Source organism: Homo sapiens, chromosome 5 (genome assembly GCF_000001405.40).
Source record: "Homo sapiens chromosome 5, GRCh38.p14 Primary Assembly".
NCBI classification, from domain to species: Eukaryota; Metazoa; Chordata; class Mammalia; order Primates; family Hominidae; genus Homo; species Homo sapiens.
In genome coordinates this window covers 67,917,641-67,935,560 of record NC_000005.10, presented here as the reverse complement: position 1 = coordinate 67,935,560, position 17,920 = coordinate 67,917,641, and the positions used below count along the sequence as shown (strand labels likewise).

General features: G+C 37.6%; 1 long non-coding RNA gene across 2 annotated transcripts in view; it reads right to left on the bottom strand.

Annotated features, from left to right (window-relative positions):
• LOC105379007 (uncharacterized) overlaps positions 1-17,920 on the bottom strand; it is a 38,941-nt gene that overhangs the window by 14,251 nt on the left and 6,770 nt on the right. Inside the window, exons 2-3 of one of the 2 annotated variants that reach the window (XR_948392.3) lie at positions 11,579-11,773; positions 9,880-10,206 (exon numbers count right to left, since the gene is read on the bottom strand). This is a non-coding gene — a long non-coding RNA (uncharacterized LOC105379007). The remainder of the gene's footprint in view (positions 1-9,879; positions 10,207-11,578; positions 11,774-17,920) is intronic. The other variant, XR_002956213.2, reaches the window with a different exon arrangement.

Below are 17,920 nucleotides of genomic sequence, written 5' to 3'. Positions count from 1 at the left end.
TTACATAAAGATTAAGCAAGAAGTTGTATATGAAGTGAGAAGTGCTCATCAGTGGTTGTGAATATTATGGTGTATTCCTAGCAGTCCAGGATGAAAGCAAACTTTTAGATTACTGTTCTGCTATTACTGTTTTTTAGTTTACAAATGAGAGAACCTGAGGTGGCAAAATAATGAACTGCCATCTTACTTGTGTCAGTTGACATTTTAGTTTGTTACCGATGTGTACTTTATGTATTTAGCAATGTTGCTGCTGGTTGTAGTATTTGAGGTAGCCGTGAGGATGTGCCTCTCAGATCTCTCACTGCAGGAGCAGAATTGACTGAAGGTCTCAGCTGCTGAGCCTGGAAATCCATACTGGAATTGGTGCTGAAGCCATACTTGCCATAGGCTGCTGCCAACCAATGACTGAGCCCAGCAGGGATCCCGAGGATGGCTCATTCCAGCGGGGGAGGACTCCTCTGGTGGACAGCTTGAGCTGAGTAATTCCCTAGCTGTGTTGCTGAACTTCCTTGACCCTGCACTGCCATTTAAGATTCTCCCACCCAACTTGCCTTCTTCCTTCTGTCCTTCACAAGGGTCAGACCTACATAAAGATATGATAACTCTCATAGCCTCTCCTGGCTCCCTTCCCATGTTCCCTCACAGGGGTTTGCCTTAATAAAATACTTGCATATTTAACCCTCTCATGATACCTGCTTCTCAGAGGACCCAGACTAACATACTGTGACCAGGCAGAGAGCAGGGCTGAAGCAAGTAACCTTCCTTTTTCAATAGGCAGTGCACCTTTGATAGCTAATGGTGATGATCAAAGAATCTCAGAACCATAAAGACACCCACAGAGATATGGTTTACTCATCCTGGTGATCTTCAGATGGTAAACACTTAAAGAGTGCACAACACATGTCTACTGCCTTGTTAACACATCTCAGATTTGTCTCATGTTCTTAAGTGGATGAAACTTCTGGTGCTGATAATCAAGTCGTCAGCTGGTGAATGCCGAGCTGAAGTTAGAAAACAGTTCTGTTAAAAGCAATTTCTTTGCTGACTGGCCAGAGTGAAGAGTACTTAAGAACTGTTTTTCTTATTACCATAACAATCATCATTGAAAGAATTTTTAAACCTTGGATGAAGGAGTAGAAGGCAGAAGAAAGAAGTGACATTTGCATGGATTAGATAACTTACCAGTTCATTTAAAGAGGCCTATGAGGAAGATGTTATTATTTCCTTTCTGTGTGCAAGGAAATTGAGACTCAGAATGGTAACTTGCTCTAGGTCACTGTCTTAGTCTATTTTCCAGATGTTGTAATAAGATATCATAAGGTGAGTAGCTTATAAACAACATAAATTTATTTCTCATACTTCTTAAGGCGGGACAATTCAAGATCAAGGTGCCAGCAGATTTCGTGTCTGGTGAGGGCACACTTTCTGGTTCATAGTGTCTTCTCACTGTGTCCTCACATGGTAAAATGGGTGGCGGGGGTGGGGAGGGTTTCTCTAAGGCCTCTTATATAAGGACACTAAGCCCATTCATGAGGGCTCTGCCCCTATGACCTAATCACCTCACAAAGGCCCCACCTCCTAATACCATCACCTTGGGAATGAAGACTTCAACATATGAATTTGGGGGCGGGGGGTGCATAAACAATCAGACAATAGCAGTCATATAACAAAGAAAGAAAGAAAGAAAGAAAGAAAGAAAGAAAGAAAGAAAGAAAGAAAGAAAGAAAGAGAGAGAGAAAAAAGTCCCTGAGCACACGTTTTTCAGATTCAATAATTCAGACAGATGCTTCTGTGTTTATGGAGCTGGCTATTGGTTGTTTTCTAGTATGGACCTAAGAAACTGGACCAGAGATCTCTAACCCATACATTGATTTTCTTCCTCAAATAGAGAATGTGCCTGCTCATGGCATGATAAGCTGAGCATTACAGTGATAGTAGGTAAAGAGAGTTGGAGAACGTCTGGAAGAAATGGTGAGGCATACTGGGTTCCCTAAGGGGAAATTATTTGCTTGCTATTCATTTCCACAGGGATTTATGATTAGAGAGTGTTTGAATATATTACTCTCTAGATGGTCAGCTTCCATATGTGGCTATGCCTGGGTAGCATTTACTCTCTATTATTCAGACAATTTAGGTCAACCCATACTTTTTCCTCACTTATTTTAATATTTGACAAGGCAGGTGGTGGCAGATATCAAACAATTATAGGAAAGAATACCGTGTTGTAGGAAGAGCGTTTGACCAGGGGTCAGAAGAGCTGAGTTCTTAGCTTGATTCCTTTGATAATCAGCTGGGAGAGCTTGGATAAGTCTGTTTACTTCAGGCCTCAGTATCTTCAGCAATGAAATGAAAGGGTTGGAATAAATGAACCTCTAAAGACCCTCATAATTTAAATATCCTATAACTTGATGATCTTGGCCCAGATTGACTGAGGACTCCTGTGGTAGTCCCTGGGTCATTGCCAGCTTCACTCTGAGCAGGGATCATTTGGTTTGAGCACACTTCATACCATTTGTCTTGTCTGGGCCAATCATAAGCCTTCTCCTCCAGCCCGGGCCTCAGCCAGGTGTCTCAGTTGTGGTGTGCTCTAACCAGAGCCAGCACCACCAAGATCTGTTCAAAACTCATCTAATCCTGCATTCAAAGGTGATGAAAAATTATTTGAGCCACCTATTAAACCATAGGAGCCTCTTAGAACATTTAGTTCAGGTTCCTTCTGAGTGCAGTCTGATAAAGGTATTTCGAGTAATCACAATAACAATATTATTATGAATCCCAAATTTCCATTCTGATATGAAGTCACCTTCATAAGTGCCCCCATGAAAACTCAGATGTGGCAGGTGGTGTGTGTGTACACGCATGTTTACACACATTTTTTTTTAGATGCCCAGAGCAAAGTTACTCAAATCTCTAGAAGTGGCATTTCTCATTACAGTTCCTGGTAGTGCTGTAATGCAAAGAACAGGAAGTTGGAAGCTACTGAGGTACAATGTTTGTTCCCATTGACCTCTCCTCTTCCTGACATTTGTCTGAGTGACATTTCATGGACAGATGTGATGATTCCAATATCCATACTGGTTTCTTCTTTTCAAATATCTCACACATATACATCTTACTAAGGATCTTCCTTAGAAACTCCACTAAATCGAAAGTAGAGAAATCTAAAATAAGCTTCAATATTTCATGTAGCATTTTACCCAATAGGATTTATATTTGAATGCCTTAGTTAATCACAATAGTTTAAAATTCAGATCCTTTTGAATTTAGATTCTTGGATGGTTCTTCTCTTGCCGCCTCCCTGAAAATGCTTAAGATCAGGAACATGACAATAATATCTACTTTAATATTTGTTTGTTTATTGAAAAAACTCCTCTCCACTTTGAATATTGCACTGGTATCCTCTCCAGTACAATAAGGCAGGAAAAAGAGACACACAACACCTGACTCTAAAGGAAGAAGTATCGCTGCTTTATCCCCAGAAAACATGACTATCTATGCAGAAAATCTGATGAAATCTACCCCAAAACTGCTAGAATAAGTAAGTTCAGAAAGACTGAGAATACAAGGTCAATATACAAAACAATTATATTTCTATATGCTAGCAACAATCAGAAATAGAAATTAAAAAAAATTTACACTAGCCTCTAAAATATGAACTATTTAGATATAAATCTGGGAAAAGATATGAAATACCTGTATAGTAAAATCTCTAAAACCCTCCTGAGAAACATTGAATAAGACTGATATGGTTTGGCTGTGTCCCCACCCAAATATCATCTTGAATTGTAGCTCCCATAATTCCCATGTGTCTTGAGAGAGATCTGGTGGGAGGTAATGGAATCATGGCAGGGGCGGGGGTGGGTCTTTCCTGTGCTGTTCTCGTGATACATGAGATCTGATGGTTTTGTAAAGTGGAGTTCCCATGTACACACTCCCTTTCCAGCTGCCATGTAAGACATGACTTTGCTCCTCATTCACCTTCTGCCATGATTGTGAGGTCTCCATAGCCATGTGGAACTATGAGTCAATTAAACTTCTTTTCCTTTGTAAATTACCCAATCTCAGGTATGTCTTTATTAGCAGCATGACCTAATTTATTAATACAATGACCTAATTTAAAGATATCTTGTGTTCTTGTGTCAGAAGACTCAATATTGTCAAGATATCAGTTCTATCCAAGTTCATCTATGCATCCAATGCAATTCCAATTAAAATTCAAGTAGGCATTTTAAAGGCTATGGGTTGGGTGTGGGTAGAATCGACACACTAATTCTAAAATTCACATGGAAATACAGAGGACCTACAATAGCCAAACAACCTTGAAAAAGGACAAGATTGGAAGGCTAAAGTTACCTGATTTCAAGACTTATTATAAAACGACACCAATCAAGACAATATGGTATTGGCATAATGACAGACAAATAGATTAATAGAATTAAATGTAGATCCCAGTAATAAACCCACACATATATGAAAAACTGGTGTTATACAAAGGTGTAAAGACAATTCAGTTGGGGAAAGTTAGTCTTTAAAATAAATGGTGTTGAAACAATTGGATATTCATATGAAAAAAAATAAATTTTTATCCATATCTCATACATTACACAAAAATTAACTCAAAATAAATCATGGACCTAATTGTAAGACTTCCACAATATTTCTAGAATACTGATATGGTTTGGCTCTGTGTTCCCATCCAAATCTCATCCGAAATTGTAATCCCCACATGTCAAGCGAGGGAGGTGATTGGATCATGGGGGCTGTTTCCCTCATGCTATTCTCGTGATAGTGAGTGATTTCTCATGTGATCTGATGTTTTTATAAGCATCTGGCATTTCCTCTGCTTGCTTCTGTCTCCTGCCGCCATGAGAAGGTCCTTGCTTCCTCTTTGCCTTCTGCTATGATTGTAAGTTCCTGAGGCCTCCCCAGCCGTGTGGAACTGTAAGTCAATTAAACCTCTTTCCTTTATAAATTACCCTGTCTCAGTTATTTCTTTTTTTTTCTTTTTTTAAATTTTATTATTATACTTTAAGTTTTAGGGTACATGTGCACAATGTGCAGGTTTGTTACATATGTATACATGTGCCATGTTGGTGTGCTGCACCCATTAACTCATCATTTACCATTAGGTATATCTCCTAATGCTATCCCTCCCCCCTCCCCCACCCCACAATAGTACCCGGAGTGTGATGTTCCCCTTCCTGTGTCCATGTGTTCTCATTGTTCAATTCCCACCTATGAGTGAGAAGATGTGGTGTTTGGTTTTTTGTCCTTGTGATAGTTTGCTGAGAATGATGGTTTCCAGTTTCATCCATGTCCCTACAAAGGACATGAACTCATCATTTTTTATGGCTGCATAGTATTCCCTGGTGTATATGTGCCACATTTTCTTAATCCAGTCTATCATTGTTGGACATTTGGGTTGGTTCCAAGTCTTTGCTATTGTGAATAGTGATGCAATAAACATACGTGAGCATGTGTCTTTATAGCAGCATGATTTATAGTCCTTTGGGTGTATACCCAGTAATGGGATGGCTGGGTCAAATGGTATTTCTAGTTCTAGATCCCTGAGGAATTGCCACACTGACTTCCACAATGGTTGAACTAGTTTACAGTCCCACCAACTGTGTAAAAGTGTTCCTATTTCTCCACATCCTCTCCAGCACCTGTTGTTTCCTGACTTTTAATGATCGCCATTCTAACTGATGTGAGATGGTATCTCATTGTGGTTTTGATTTGCATTTCTCTGATGGCCAGTGATGATGATCATGTGTTTTTTGGCTGCATAAATGTCTTCTTTTGAGAAGTGTCTGTTCATATCCTTCGCCCACTTTTTGATGGTGTTGTTTTTTTCTTGTAAATTTGTTTGAGTTCATTGTAGATTCTGGATATTAGCCCTTTGTCAGATGAGTAGGTTGTGAAAATTTTCTCCCATTTTGTAGGTTGCCTGTTCACTCTGATGGTAGTTTCATTTGCAGTGCAGAAGCTCTTTAGTTGAATTAGATCCCATTTGTCAATTTTGGCTTTTGTTGCCATTGCTTTTGGTGTTTTAGACGTGAAGTCCTTGCCCATGCCTATGTCCTGAATGGTATTGCCTAGGTTTTCTTCTAGGGTTTTTATGGTTTTAGGTCTAACATGTAAGTCTTTAATCTATCTTGAATTAATTTTTGTCTAAGGTGTAAGGAAGGGATCCAGTTTCAGCTTTCTACATATGGCTAGCCAGTTTTCCCAGCACCATTTATTAAATAGGGAATCCTTTTCCCATTGCTTGTTTTTGTCAGGTTTGTCAAAGATCAGATGGTTGTAGATAAGCGGCATTATTTCTGAGGGCTCTGTTCTGTTCCATTGATCTATATCTCTGTTTTGGTACCAGTATCATGCTGTTTTGGTTACTGTAGCCTTGTAATATAGTTTGAAGTCAGGTAGCGTGATGCCTCCGGCTTTGTTCTTTTGGCTTAGGATTGACTTGGTGATGCAGGCTCTTTTTTGGTTCCATATGAAATTTAAAGTAGTTTTTTCCAATTCTGTGAAGAAAGTCATTGGTAGCCTGATGGGGATGGCATTGAATCTATAAATTACCTTGGGCAGTATGGCCATTTTCACGATATTGATTCTTCCTACCCATGAGCATGGAATGTTCTTCCATTTGTTTGTATCCTCTTTTATTTCATTGAGCAGTTGTTTGTAGTTCTCCTTGAAGAGGTCCTTCATGTCCCTTGTAAGTTGGATTCCTAGGTATTTTATTCTCTTTGAAGCAATTGTGAATGGGAGTTCACTCATGATTTGGCTCTCTGTTTGTCTGTTATTGGTGTATAAGAATGCTTGTGATTTTTGTACATTGATTTTGTATCCTGAGACTTTGCTGAAGTTGCTTATCAGCTTAAGGAGATTTTGGGCTGAGACAATGGGGTTTTCTAGATATACAATCATGTCATCTGCAAACAGGGACAGTATTTCTTTATAATAGTGTGAAAACGGACTAATACAGATACATTAGGAGAAAACTTTTGTGACCTTAGATTAGGTAAATATCTTTTATATACAACAGAAACATAGCAATCCATAAAAGAACAAATTGTTAAATTGGCTTTCATCCAAATTAAAAATGTCTACTCTTCAAAATACATTGTTAAGAGAATGAAAAGACAAGACAAAGTCTGGGGAAATGTATTTGCAAATATTTATAGTAGATTTATCTAGAATATTTTTTTGAAAAAAATCTTAAATCTCAAAAATAAGAAAACAACCCAAGTAAAAAATGGGCAAAATATTTAAAAATATGCCTTACTAAAGAAAACATGCAGAGGACAAATATGCACATGAAGCAATGTTCAACATTGTTAGTAATTAGGAAAATATAAATAAAAACCACAATGAGATACAACTACATATCAATTAGAATGGCCAAAATTCCAAAGACTGACCATATTGTGTGTTGGTAGGGATGTGGAGGAAATGGAACTCTCATATGCTGCAAATGGAAATGTAAAATTATACAACCAATTTGCAATTCATTTTGGCAGTTTTCTAAAAACTTAAACATATACCTACCATATGATCCAGCTACTTCACTTCTAAGTATTTACCCAAAAGAAAGGAAAGCATATGTCCATACAAAGACTTGGACATGAATGTTCATAGCAACCTTACTTGTAACAGCTCATATCAAAAAAAACCCCACATGTCAATCAACAAGTGAACGAATAAACAAACCATAATATATCCATACAATGGAATACTCTTCAGCAAAAAAAGGAATGAACTATTGATGCACATTATAGCATGGATAAAACTCAAAATAATTTTGTGTGAGTGAAAAAAATGATACAAAATGATTATTTGCTAAATGAGTCAACTTATATAAAATTCTAGGAAATGCAAACAGATCAATCCTAACAGAAAGCAGATCAGTGGTTGTTTGAGAGTAGATAGGAGGTGAGGAGGAGTGGAAGGAAAAAATTGCAAAAGTAATACAAATATCTATTAACCTGTATTTATTTCCTAGTAATGTTTGCAGGTAATTTGGTGATGGTTTTTTGGATGTATGCATATGATTAAATTTATCAAATTTTATACTTTAAATATGTGCAGTTTTTTATAGGTCAATTAAAAAACACTGCAAACAAAAACTGGTTAAAGATATGAAAATGATAATAAAATAAATAAACCTCTGGCAAACTGCATGAAATGAAGAGAATCAAGCAAACAATATGTTAGAAAAAAATTAATATGTATAAAGATAGGAAGCATTAAAAATGGTTAAAATGGTAAATGAATAGTTTGTAATATAATAATAAGCCTGAAAATACGTCAAATAGATAGCTTTGTAGAAAAACATATATATTATAAAATTTACTTAATATTAATAGAGAACTTCACTAGATCAATAATTATTAAATACATGGAGTTAATAAGAAAATCTCCACATCCAATCCAAGAAGAACCAGGCCCAGATTGTTTTAAGGACAACTTCTTTTGCCTAAACTTCAAGGAAGAAATTATCATTCTCTTTAGTTATTTTTTCCAGAGGACAGAAAAACAGAGAAAGCTCATTTTGTATGACTTTTATTAACTCAAGTGGTAAAGTAAGAAAAAAATACATAAGCAAATCAAAATTCCACGTAATAGAAAAATAAAAATTTTTAAAAGATATTTCACTGTGACCAAGTAGGGTATATCTTAGGAATGGAACAATATTTTAAATATTAAAATTCAAATGACCACATTAAAATATTATTAGAATAAATAAGTCTTTAATAAAATTCAGTATATTTATAATTAAAAATTTTAAGCAACTTACGAAAAGGAGGGAGTATCCTTAAGCTAAACCATAAATCTATGGTTAACATCATACTTAATAGTAAAATGGGAAACATTTCTTTTCAAGTAGGAATAGGATAAGGATGTTTGCTGTCATTCTTATTGCTGAATATTGTGCGGGAGGTCCTAGTAAATTCAATAAGACAATAAAAAATGAAGTATAAAGATTTAAAAGAATGGAAACTGTCCAATTTGCAGATAACATATGCACACAAAAAATCAGAGTGAATGAACAAATAATACAACTAATAAGAGGCCTTGAAATGTTTGTAGGATACAAAGATCAACATGCAAAAACAAAATAGCTTTCTGGTGCTCTTAAAATAACCAGATGGAAAATACAATAGAAAAGAAGAACACAATCATAATAGTAAGAAATAGTGAAAGGCACCAAGAAATAAACTTATTAAACATTTTTGTAAGATTGTTATGTAGAAAACTATACAACTTTAAGGATGAAAGAAAAACTTGTATTATGGAAGAGATGTGCCATACTAAGGTTTGAAAGACTCAATACCATAGAGATGTCACTTCTTCCTAAATTCATCTGTAGATTTCATGCAATTTCAATAAAATTACAAAATGGCTTCTCATGAAATTAAGTTTAACAAATATGGAAGGATAGCCTACACACTTCTGACAATGAGTAAGAAGAAAGAGGGTCTTGCCCTTTCATTATTAAGATTTATTATAGAGCAATAATAACTAAATCGGTGTTATACCAGCACAGCCATTAGACAAATAAACCAAGGGACTGGACTAAAGAAGCAAAAAAAAAAAAAAGGAACCAAGAGCCATATATTTCCAGTCAATGAGTTCAGTTCAGTTCTACCACTGATGGTAATGGTTTGCAGGAATGAGATCCTATAAATATTTAATGCCTGAGTGACTGCTGAGGAGTGGAAGGGACAACGAGTTTGCCTGGGATGCAGATGGGGAGTTTTTGACTGAGCTCCCTTCAGTCAGGACAACTTCCAGCAAAAGATAGGATTTTCCGAGTGCTTTAAAGAAAACCAGAAGGCTTAAAATCCGAGAACAGGAAAAGTTTTTGATACTTACCCATGTGAGAAAAAGCATGCACAGAGAAGAGGAAATTCAGATGAAGGGAGCAATGACTGTGACCATCTGGGAGGCAGCACGGCTCAGTTAACAGCAAGGACTTTGGAGGCGGAAAGTATTTAATTCAAATCTTCTTCTACCACACACAGGCTGGATGACTTTGCCAGGTTCTCTATTGTCTGTAAACCTTGATTGCTTCTTCTGTGAAATGGAGCTAATGATATCTCCATTTGGTGTTGTGAGGATTATGTGAGCTCATGCATGCAATGCTCTTAGCTCAGTGGCTGTCCCATGGTAAGGGTTCAATGAAGGCTCCATGGCAGCTTTCTAGGGGAAGACAAGAGGGAAGGTTGGCAGAGAGGAAAGAGAGGTCTGTCCTGGCCAGTGTTGCTCAGGGCCCGAATCAGAGAATACTGAAATTCATGGCGGCATTTCCAAGAGGGTAGAGATGATTTTGAAGTACCTAACATATGTTGCCTTTATTATTTCCCATTCAAAAACTTTAATTCTATTTCCCATTGAATTTCAAGTTCCTCTATAGCGGAGACAGGGTTGTATAATCTTGGTAGTTTCTTTACCTGACAGGCACACAGTGCGTTCTCATTGTTAAAAAGGGTGAGGTGGGCAGGGTGCGGTAGCTCATGCCTATAATCCCAGCACTTTGGGAGGTTGAGGTGGGCAGATCATGAGGTCAGGAGTTTGAGACCAGCCTGGCCAATATGGTGAAACCCCATCTCTAATAAAAATTAGTGGGGCATGGTGGCGGGCACCTGTAGTCCCAGCTACTTGGGAGGCTGAGGCAGAAGAATTGCTTGAACTTGGGAGGTGGAGGTTGCAGTGAGCCAAGATCATGCCGCTGCACTCCAGCCTGGGTGACAGAGCAAGACTCTGTCTCAAAAAAAAAAAAAAAAAAGGGTGAAATGGGGACAAAGGGCAAAAGCACCAGGGTCAACATTAGCATTCAAGATTCCCTGTAGAAAAATGAAAAATGATGGTTTAAGTGAAGGCTCATAGTTCTTTGTTGGCAGTAATGGGTAAGAAATTGAATGAGACTTGTGTGACTACCAAGGGCAGGAGACAGATAGAGGGAAAAGTGTCAGAATCCTGTAATGCTTAGATCGAAGGAGAGATGGAAAGAGAAACCACCTTAATCAGGTTTTCCTTCTTGAAAAAAAAGGGCAAGATAGCGGCACCAACCTACAGCTAAAATGGAGATTGGAGAAGTGGTGCACTTTAGAACGGCCATGAACAGTTTTGTCTCCACTCTATTTAATTTGATCTGGTTGCAATTTATCCACTTTTAGATGCTCAGGGTCTGCACTTTCTAACTACGAAAACATTTGTGGAATGTAGTAAGCACAGGTGCAGTGTTGCTTTTCACGGAAGTTTATGGTTTCAGTGAAATCCAAGTAATATAAATCTATTTACAGCCTATTTAGTCTCTGGCAAAATGTTCAATACTTATAATCATAATAGTTATCATTTACTCAGCATTCTTATATTCTAGGCTCTGGGCTAAGTACTTCATAAACATTATTTGTAATCCTTGAACTACATGAAAAATGGGTATTATGTCCCTTTTAAAAAGGAGAGACCCAAGATTAAGGAATTTGCCCAGGACCACCCAGCCAATAAGGAAAAGAGCAGGAAATTGAACTGGATCTGTCTGAGACTAAAGCTTGTATCCTCTCAAGCACACCTGGCTGGCGATGCCTGGGACGTCATGGTCTTTGACCTTTTGATATAGACCCTGCGTGGTGATTCTCTTATTAGTTGTATTTTACGCCATCGACCCATGATCTTCCTGACTTCTCTGTAAGTATCTTTTCCACTTATTTTGGATCTCCTCTTTGAGTAAATGAGCTTTGTGAATCCAGAAGTCTTTCTTTTGCATCTGAGCAGAAAAACCAAATGGAACAGAACAAATGTTGTTAGTGTGATCTCTGTACACATCTTTCTGGGTCCTGGCTTGTGCTGGCCTTTTCCAGAGGCAGAGAAAGGGGTTTCTAGGATTTGGCAGTGTCGGGCAAAAAGACCATGCTGGGAAAAAAAAAAAAAATCTCTCTTTGGTAGTTCTGTCTTCTGTAATAATTTATTAAATTTGACTGTAATTTTTTATAATTTGTAATATCACTTTGTCTTATGATGCTAATGATTCATAAATCCAAAGCTCATCTAAGAGGGGTAATTCAATAATGCATTGGCAGAAATTTAAAAAAGACTTAGCTGGAACGAATTTTCTGGATAAAAGGAAGGTGCTGAGAAATGCGACACGATGTCCACAAGGTTTATTAGGAGAGGGCTGAGAGAAAGACCCTAGGTGGGCAGAGCTCCTGGGAGGGGCAAGCCGTGCAGGCCACCTCAGTACCACACTGCTGGTCACTGTGGCAACAGGAAGCACTGGGCTTCCAGGGGAGAGAGAGAGAGAGACAGAGGTGCGCAGAGTGGGCAGCTCCCCATGGGCCAGCTCTACTCTAACACTCCTTTCTCCTCTCCCATTGAGAACTACTTTTCTTCCATAAGTTTCATCCAAGTTAAGCAAAAAATTGAGCCCAGGAAATGTTAAAAGCCAGAGGAATGGAAAGATCAAGAAGGAGAATCTGCAGTACCTATTAAAGCCTCCCTCTCTCCATACCTTCTTAACAGTTCTCTGCGATTGCAAGAGCACATCAAACATGTACATTTTAATACACAAATCCTGTTTCACATATTTGTGAAAAATCTCAGTGCCAAGGAGACAGGGAAATGATTTTGCGGAGTGGGCATGAATAAGAATTAAAGCCACCAGGGCAAGGTCCCAGACCTGTGAGACTTGTGTGACTACCAAGGGCAGGAGACAGATAGAGGGAAAAGTGTCAGAACCCTGTAATGCTTAGATTGAAGCATACAAATATACAAATAAATCTGTAATAATAATAATAACAAGGAGGCTATGGATATAATGTCAACTGAGTTCAGGGGAACCACAGGATTTACTGAGTGTGAGTCTACTTGAATAATAAGAGAAGCCTGTAAAAATATTAAAAACTTAGAGCATAGACAATGTGGGGCTGCAGACAAGGATCTTTTTCATCTTTCTGGAACTGTGTAGACACATCAGCTGGATGGTCTACATAAGCAGAGAAAACAGGTAAATGAAAGGCCCAGGCCAGACCCTCCATCACAGAATCCTAACCGGGAGAACCTGTGAATCACCACTGCTATAAAGGACATTTTTTTAGCCTTTGAGTGAACCAGACCTGAAGTGCCCAAACCAAAGACATGAAACAAGCTTAATTTTTATAAAGATACCCAGGAAGGCTAAAACCACAGATAACTGAAGGGATTCATTTCATTGGAGATGATTTATATTATTAAGAAAGTCTTTCCTATTATTATCTCAAATCCTTCCCAATGCAGATTGAATTCACATGGAATTAGGCAGTAGTAATTTAAGAAAAGCAGTTATGACCCTGTCTTTGAAATAATCTTCCTATTATGAAGAGAAGAAAAATAGCATCAGTGTTTTTTTGCAGTCTTGTTTTTGAGCCGGTACATTCTTAAATTCTTGTATTTCTAGTTACATGAAGGCTTTAAGTGAGAAAAAGTTCTCATAGCCTCATGAGATTTGTTTACCTTGTTTTCTCTCCATCAACTCCATGAGAAAAGGGATTTTCTTTCTGTTTTGTTTAATGCTATATTTCCAGAGCCTAGAAATAGTGCCTGACATGTAACAGACATTCAGTAAATATTTGTTAGAATAATGAATTCGACTTTTATGATATCATCTAATCACTCTCCCTGTCTCTTATTTTACTCTATCCAATCTACCCTCATCTCTCCCAAGACCAGAGTAGTGTTTCTAAAACATGAATCTTGATGAAAGCACTCTTCTTTCTCAAACTTTTCAAAAGATGCACCCAGTGTAGGATAAGGCCATTATTTTATTATTATTATTATTATTTTGACAGAGCTTCGCTCTTGTTGCCCAGTCTGGAGTGCAATAGTGCGATCTCGGCTCACTGCAACCTCCACCTCCCGGGTTCAAGCAATTCTCCTGCCTCAGCTTCTGGAGTAGCTGTGATTACAGGTACCCGCCACCACATCCAGTTAATTTTTGTATTTTTAGTAGAGACGGGATTTCACCATGTTGGCCAGGCTGGTCTCAAACTCCTGACCTCAGGTGATCCACCCGCCTTGGCCTCCCAAAGTGCTGGGATTACAGCCATGAGCCACTGCGCCCGGCCCATTATTCTTTAATAAGCTATTAAAGTGCCTCTGTGATCTGGTGCCAGCTTATGACTTTAGGCTCACCTGCCACAGCCTGGCACCTTCTGCACCAAGACTGACGCTGTCCTCACTGATGAACCTTCTCTGCCAGGGCATTGTTCTTCTCCAGTTTTCTTCTTCCCTTGGCAAACTTTCATTCATCCTTAAAAACTCAGAAAGAATGTCTCTCCTTCTGGGAAGCCTTCTCAGACTAACCGCTGCACAAGATTATTTACTTTGGCACATCATATGCTTCTTAAGTGCTTCTACCAACATACTTATGATGTATTAGGATGCTGGATTTGTACGTCAGTGTTCCCAACGATTGTGTTCCTTGCTATTACCTCCATGTTAGTATCTTGGGATTCTGTAACATATTACCTCCATGTTAGCATCTTGGCCTACTTGGGATTCTATAATAAAACACCATAGGCTGTGTGGCTTATGAACAACAGAATGCATTTTTCACAGTTGTAGAGGCTGGGAAGGCCAAGATTAAGGTGCCAGCACAGTTGGATTCTGGTGAGGGCCTTCATTCAGGTTGCAGACTGCTGATTTCTTGCTGTGTCCTCACATGGTGGAAGGGTAAAGGCAGTTCTCTGGAACATGTTGGAAGGGTAAAGGCAGTTCTTTGGGGTCATGTTTATAAGGAAACTAATCACAATCATGAGGATCCCACCCATAATCTAATCACTTCCCAAATAACCCATCTCCTAGTTTCATCACATTGGTTACTACATTTCAATACATGAATTTTAGGGTTGAGTGACACACACATTCAGACTGTAGAAGTTAGGTACTGTGGCTTAGTCACTTTTGTAACGCTAGTGCCAGTGTGTTTGCTACAAAATTAATACTTGATAAGTATTTGGGGATAGAAACACCAAAAAGGGATTGTGCAATTACTGGCATTTAATTTTTTGAATAAAATGTTAATTTTGTTTGTAAATCTTAGTATTATTAAAACTAAGTTGATGATATTTGTAAGTTTTATCTATTAAGTACATGGTACACAGTCTACCTTCACAAGTCATTAGTCTTCATTATTTTTATTGTAGTAAAATATACATAACATAAAATTTGATCTTCAACAAAATTGACAAGAACAAACAGTAGGAAAAGGACTCCCTATTCAATAAATAGTGCTGGGATAACTGGCTAGCCATCTGCTGAAGACTGAAACTGGACCTCTTCCTTACACCATGTACAAAAATCAACTCACGATGGATTAAAGACTTAAATGTAAAATCCAAAACTATAAAAACCTTAGAAGACAACCTAAGAAATGCCATTCTGGAGATAGGACCTGGCAAAGATTTCGTGAAGATGCCAAAAGCAATTGCCACAAAAACAAAAGTTGACAAAAGGGACTTAATTATGTTAAAGTGCTTCTGCATAGCAAAATAAACTATCAAGAGTGAACAGACAATCTACAGAATGGGAGAAAATATTTGCAAACTATGCATCCAACAAAGGTCTAATATCCAGAATCTATAAGGAACTTAAATTTACAAGCAAAAAACAACACCATTAAAAAGTGGGCAAAGGACATGAACAGATACTTTTCAAAAGGAGACATACATGAGTCAACAAGCATATGAAAAAAAGCTCAACATCACTAATCATTAGAGAAATGCAAATCAAAACCATGATGAGATACCATTTCACACCAGTCAGAAATGGCTATTACTAAAAAGTCAAAAAATAACAAGTGCTGGTGAGGTTGTAGAGAAAAGGGAACATTTATGCACCACTAGTGGGAATGTAAATTAGTTCAACTATTGTGGAAAGCAGTTTGGTGATTTCTCAAAGAATGTAAAACAGAACTCCCAATCTACCCAGCAATTTCATTACTGGGTTATATACTCAAAGGAATAGAAATCATTCTATCATAAAGACACATGCACATGTATGTTCATCACAACACATTCACAATAGCAAAGACATAGAATCAACTTAAATGACCATCAACATTAGACTCGATAAAGAAAATGTGATACATATCCATCATGGAATACTACGCAGCCATAAAAAAAACGAAATCATGTCCTTTGCAGGAACATGAATGGAGCTGGAGGCTGTTATCCTAAACAAACTGAGACAGGAACAGAAAACCAAACACAGCATGTTCTCACTTATAAGTGGGAGCTAAATACTGAGTACACATGGACACAAAGAAGGGAAGAACAGACACAGGGGCCTACTTTATGTGGGAGGTAGGAGGAGGGTGAGGACAAAAAAACTACCTATCAGGTACTATGCTGATTACCTGGGTGATGAAATAATTCACCTAACCCCTGTGACATACAATTTATCTATGTAACAAATCTACACGTGTACCTCTGAACCTAAAATAAAAGTTAAAAAATAAAAGTAAATAAATACATACAAATTTACCACTTTAACCATTTTAAAATATACGTTTCAGTGGCATGAAGTACATTCAAAATGCCGTGTGATAGTCGACATTACTCGTTCCCAGGAATTTTTTATCATCCCAAACAGAAATGCTATACTTATTAAAAAATAATTCCTACTCTTTCTGCCCCCAGCCCCTGGCAACCACCACTCTACTCTCTGTCTGTCAGGGCTGAACTAGTCTAAGTATCTCATAAAAATGGAATAATATGCTATTTGTCCTTTTGTGTCTGGCTTATTTCACTTTGTGTGATATTTTGAAGATTCACCCATGTTGTAGGATTATCAGAATTTTACTCCTTTCTAAGGCTGAATTTTACTCCTTTCTAAGGCTGAATATTGCATTGCACATATAACACATTTTGTTTATTCATCTGTTGATGGACATTTGGGTTGTTTCCACCTTTTAGCTATCATGAATAATGCTGCTATGAAGATTGATATATGAGTATCTGTTTGAGTCCTTGTTTTCAATTCTTTTGGATATATAACTAAGAGTAGAATGGCTGGATTACATGGTAATTCTGTTTAACTTTTTGAGAAACCATCAAACTATTTTCTACAGCAGCTGCAACATTTTATATTCACACCAGCAATGCATAAATGTTCTAATTTCTCCATATTCTTGCCGACACTTGTTATTTTCCATTTTTAATAATAGCCACCCTAATGAGTACGAATCAGTGGCTTTTGGATGGCATGGACATCTAGGTGTGGGCTATATTTATATTTTCAACTTTAAGCATAAAATTTGAGCAAAAAATTGTTATGCTTAAATTGTGGAAATATTAGAAATTCACTGTTATTTATAAAACCATCCCGAGCTTGGGTATAGTTTTGAAACAATAAAGATACAATATAGGAGTAGAAAAAGAGGGGAAGGATGATAATATTCTCATGACCTGCATACAGCCATTTCTTTTGAGTTAATAACCTTCACAATGTAGTCCACAGGCACTTCCAAAAACATATTTAATTGACAAATGTATGAAGCAGGATCATGCCAGTAATGATCTCCAGTGAAATTGGTTTCTTTTTTTTTTTCATTAGTTTGAGCATTTTTATGATTTCAAGGATGGAAAAAAGCTTACAGAAAACCACATATACGCAAATACCGTGGATGTGAAAATATGCATAGAAACTGTGGCTTATTTTTATAAAACTTTTTTTTTACAGCATATTAAGGCAAAACCAATGTTATTGCAATATTAAAGTTCAGAATTTCAGCAATCTATTAAGGCCTCTGGAGGAACGTTAGTTGCAGCAGGGAACTCCAGCACTTTAGAGGGCTGCCAATGAAGAAAGATGGTTCTCTCGCAGATTTAACTCAGGGAAGCATTTAATAGGAGGAATTTTTAAAAAGTGACTTTACAGC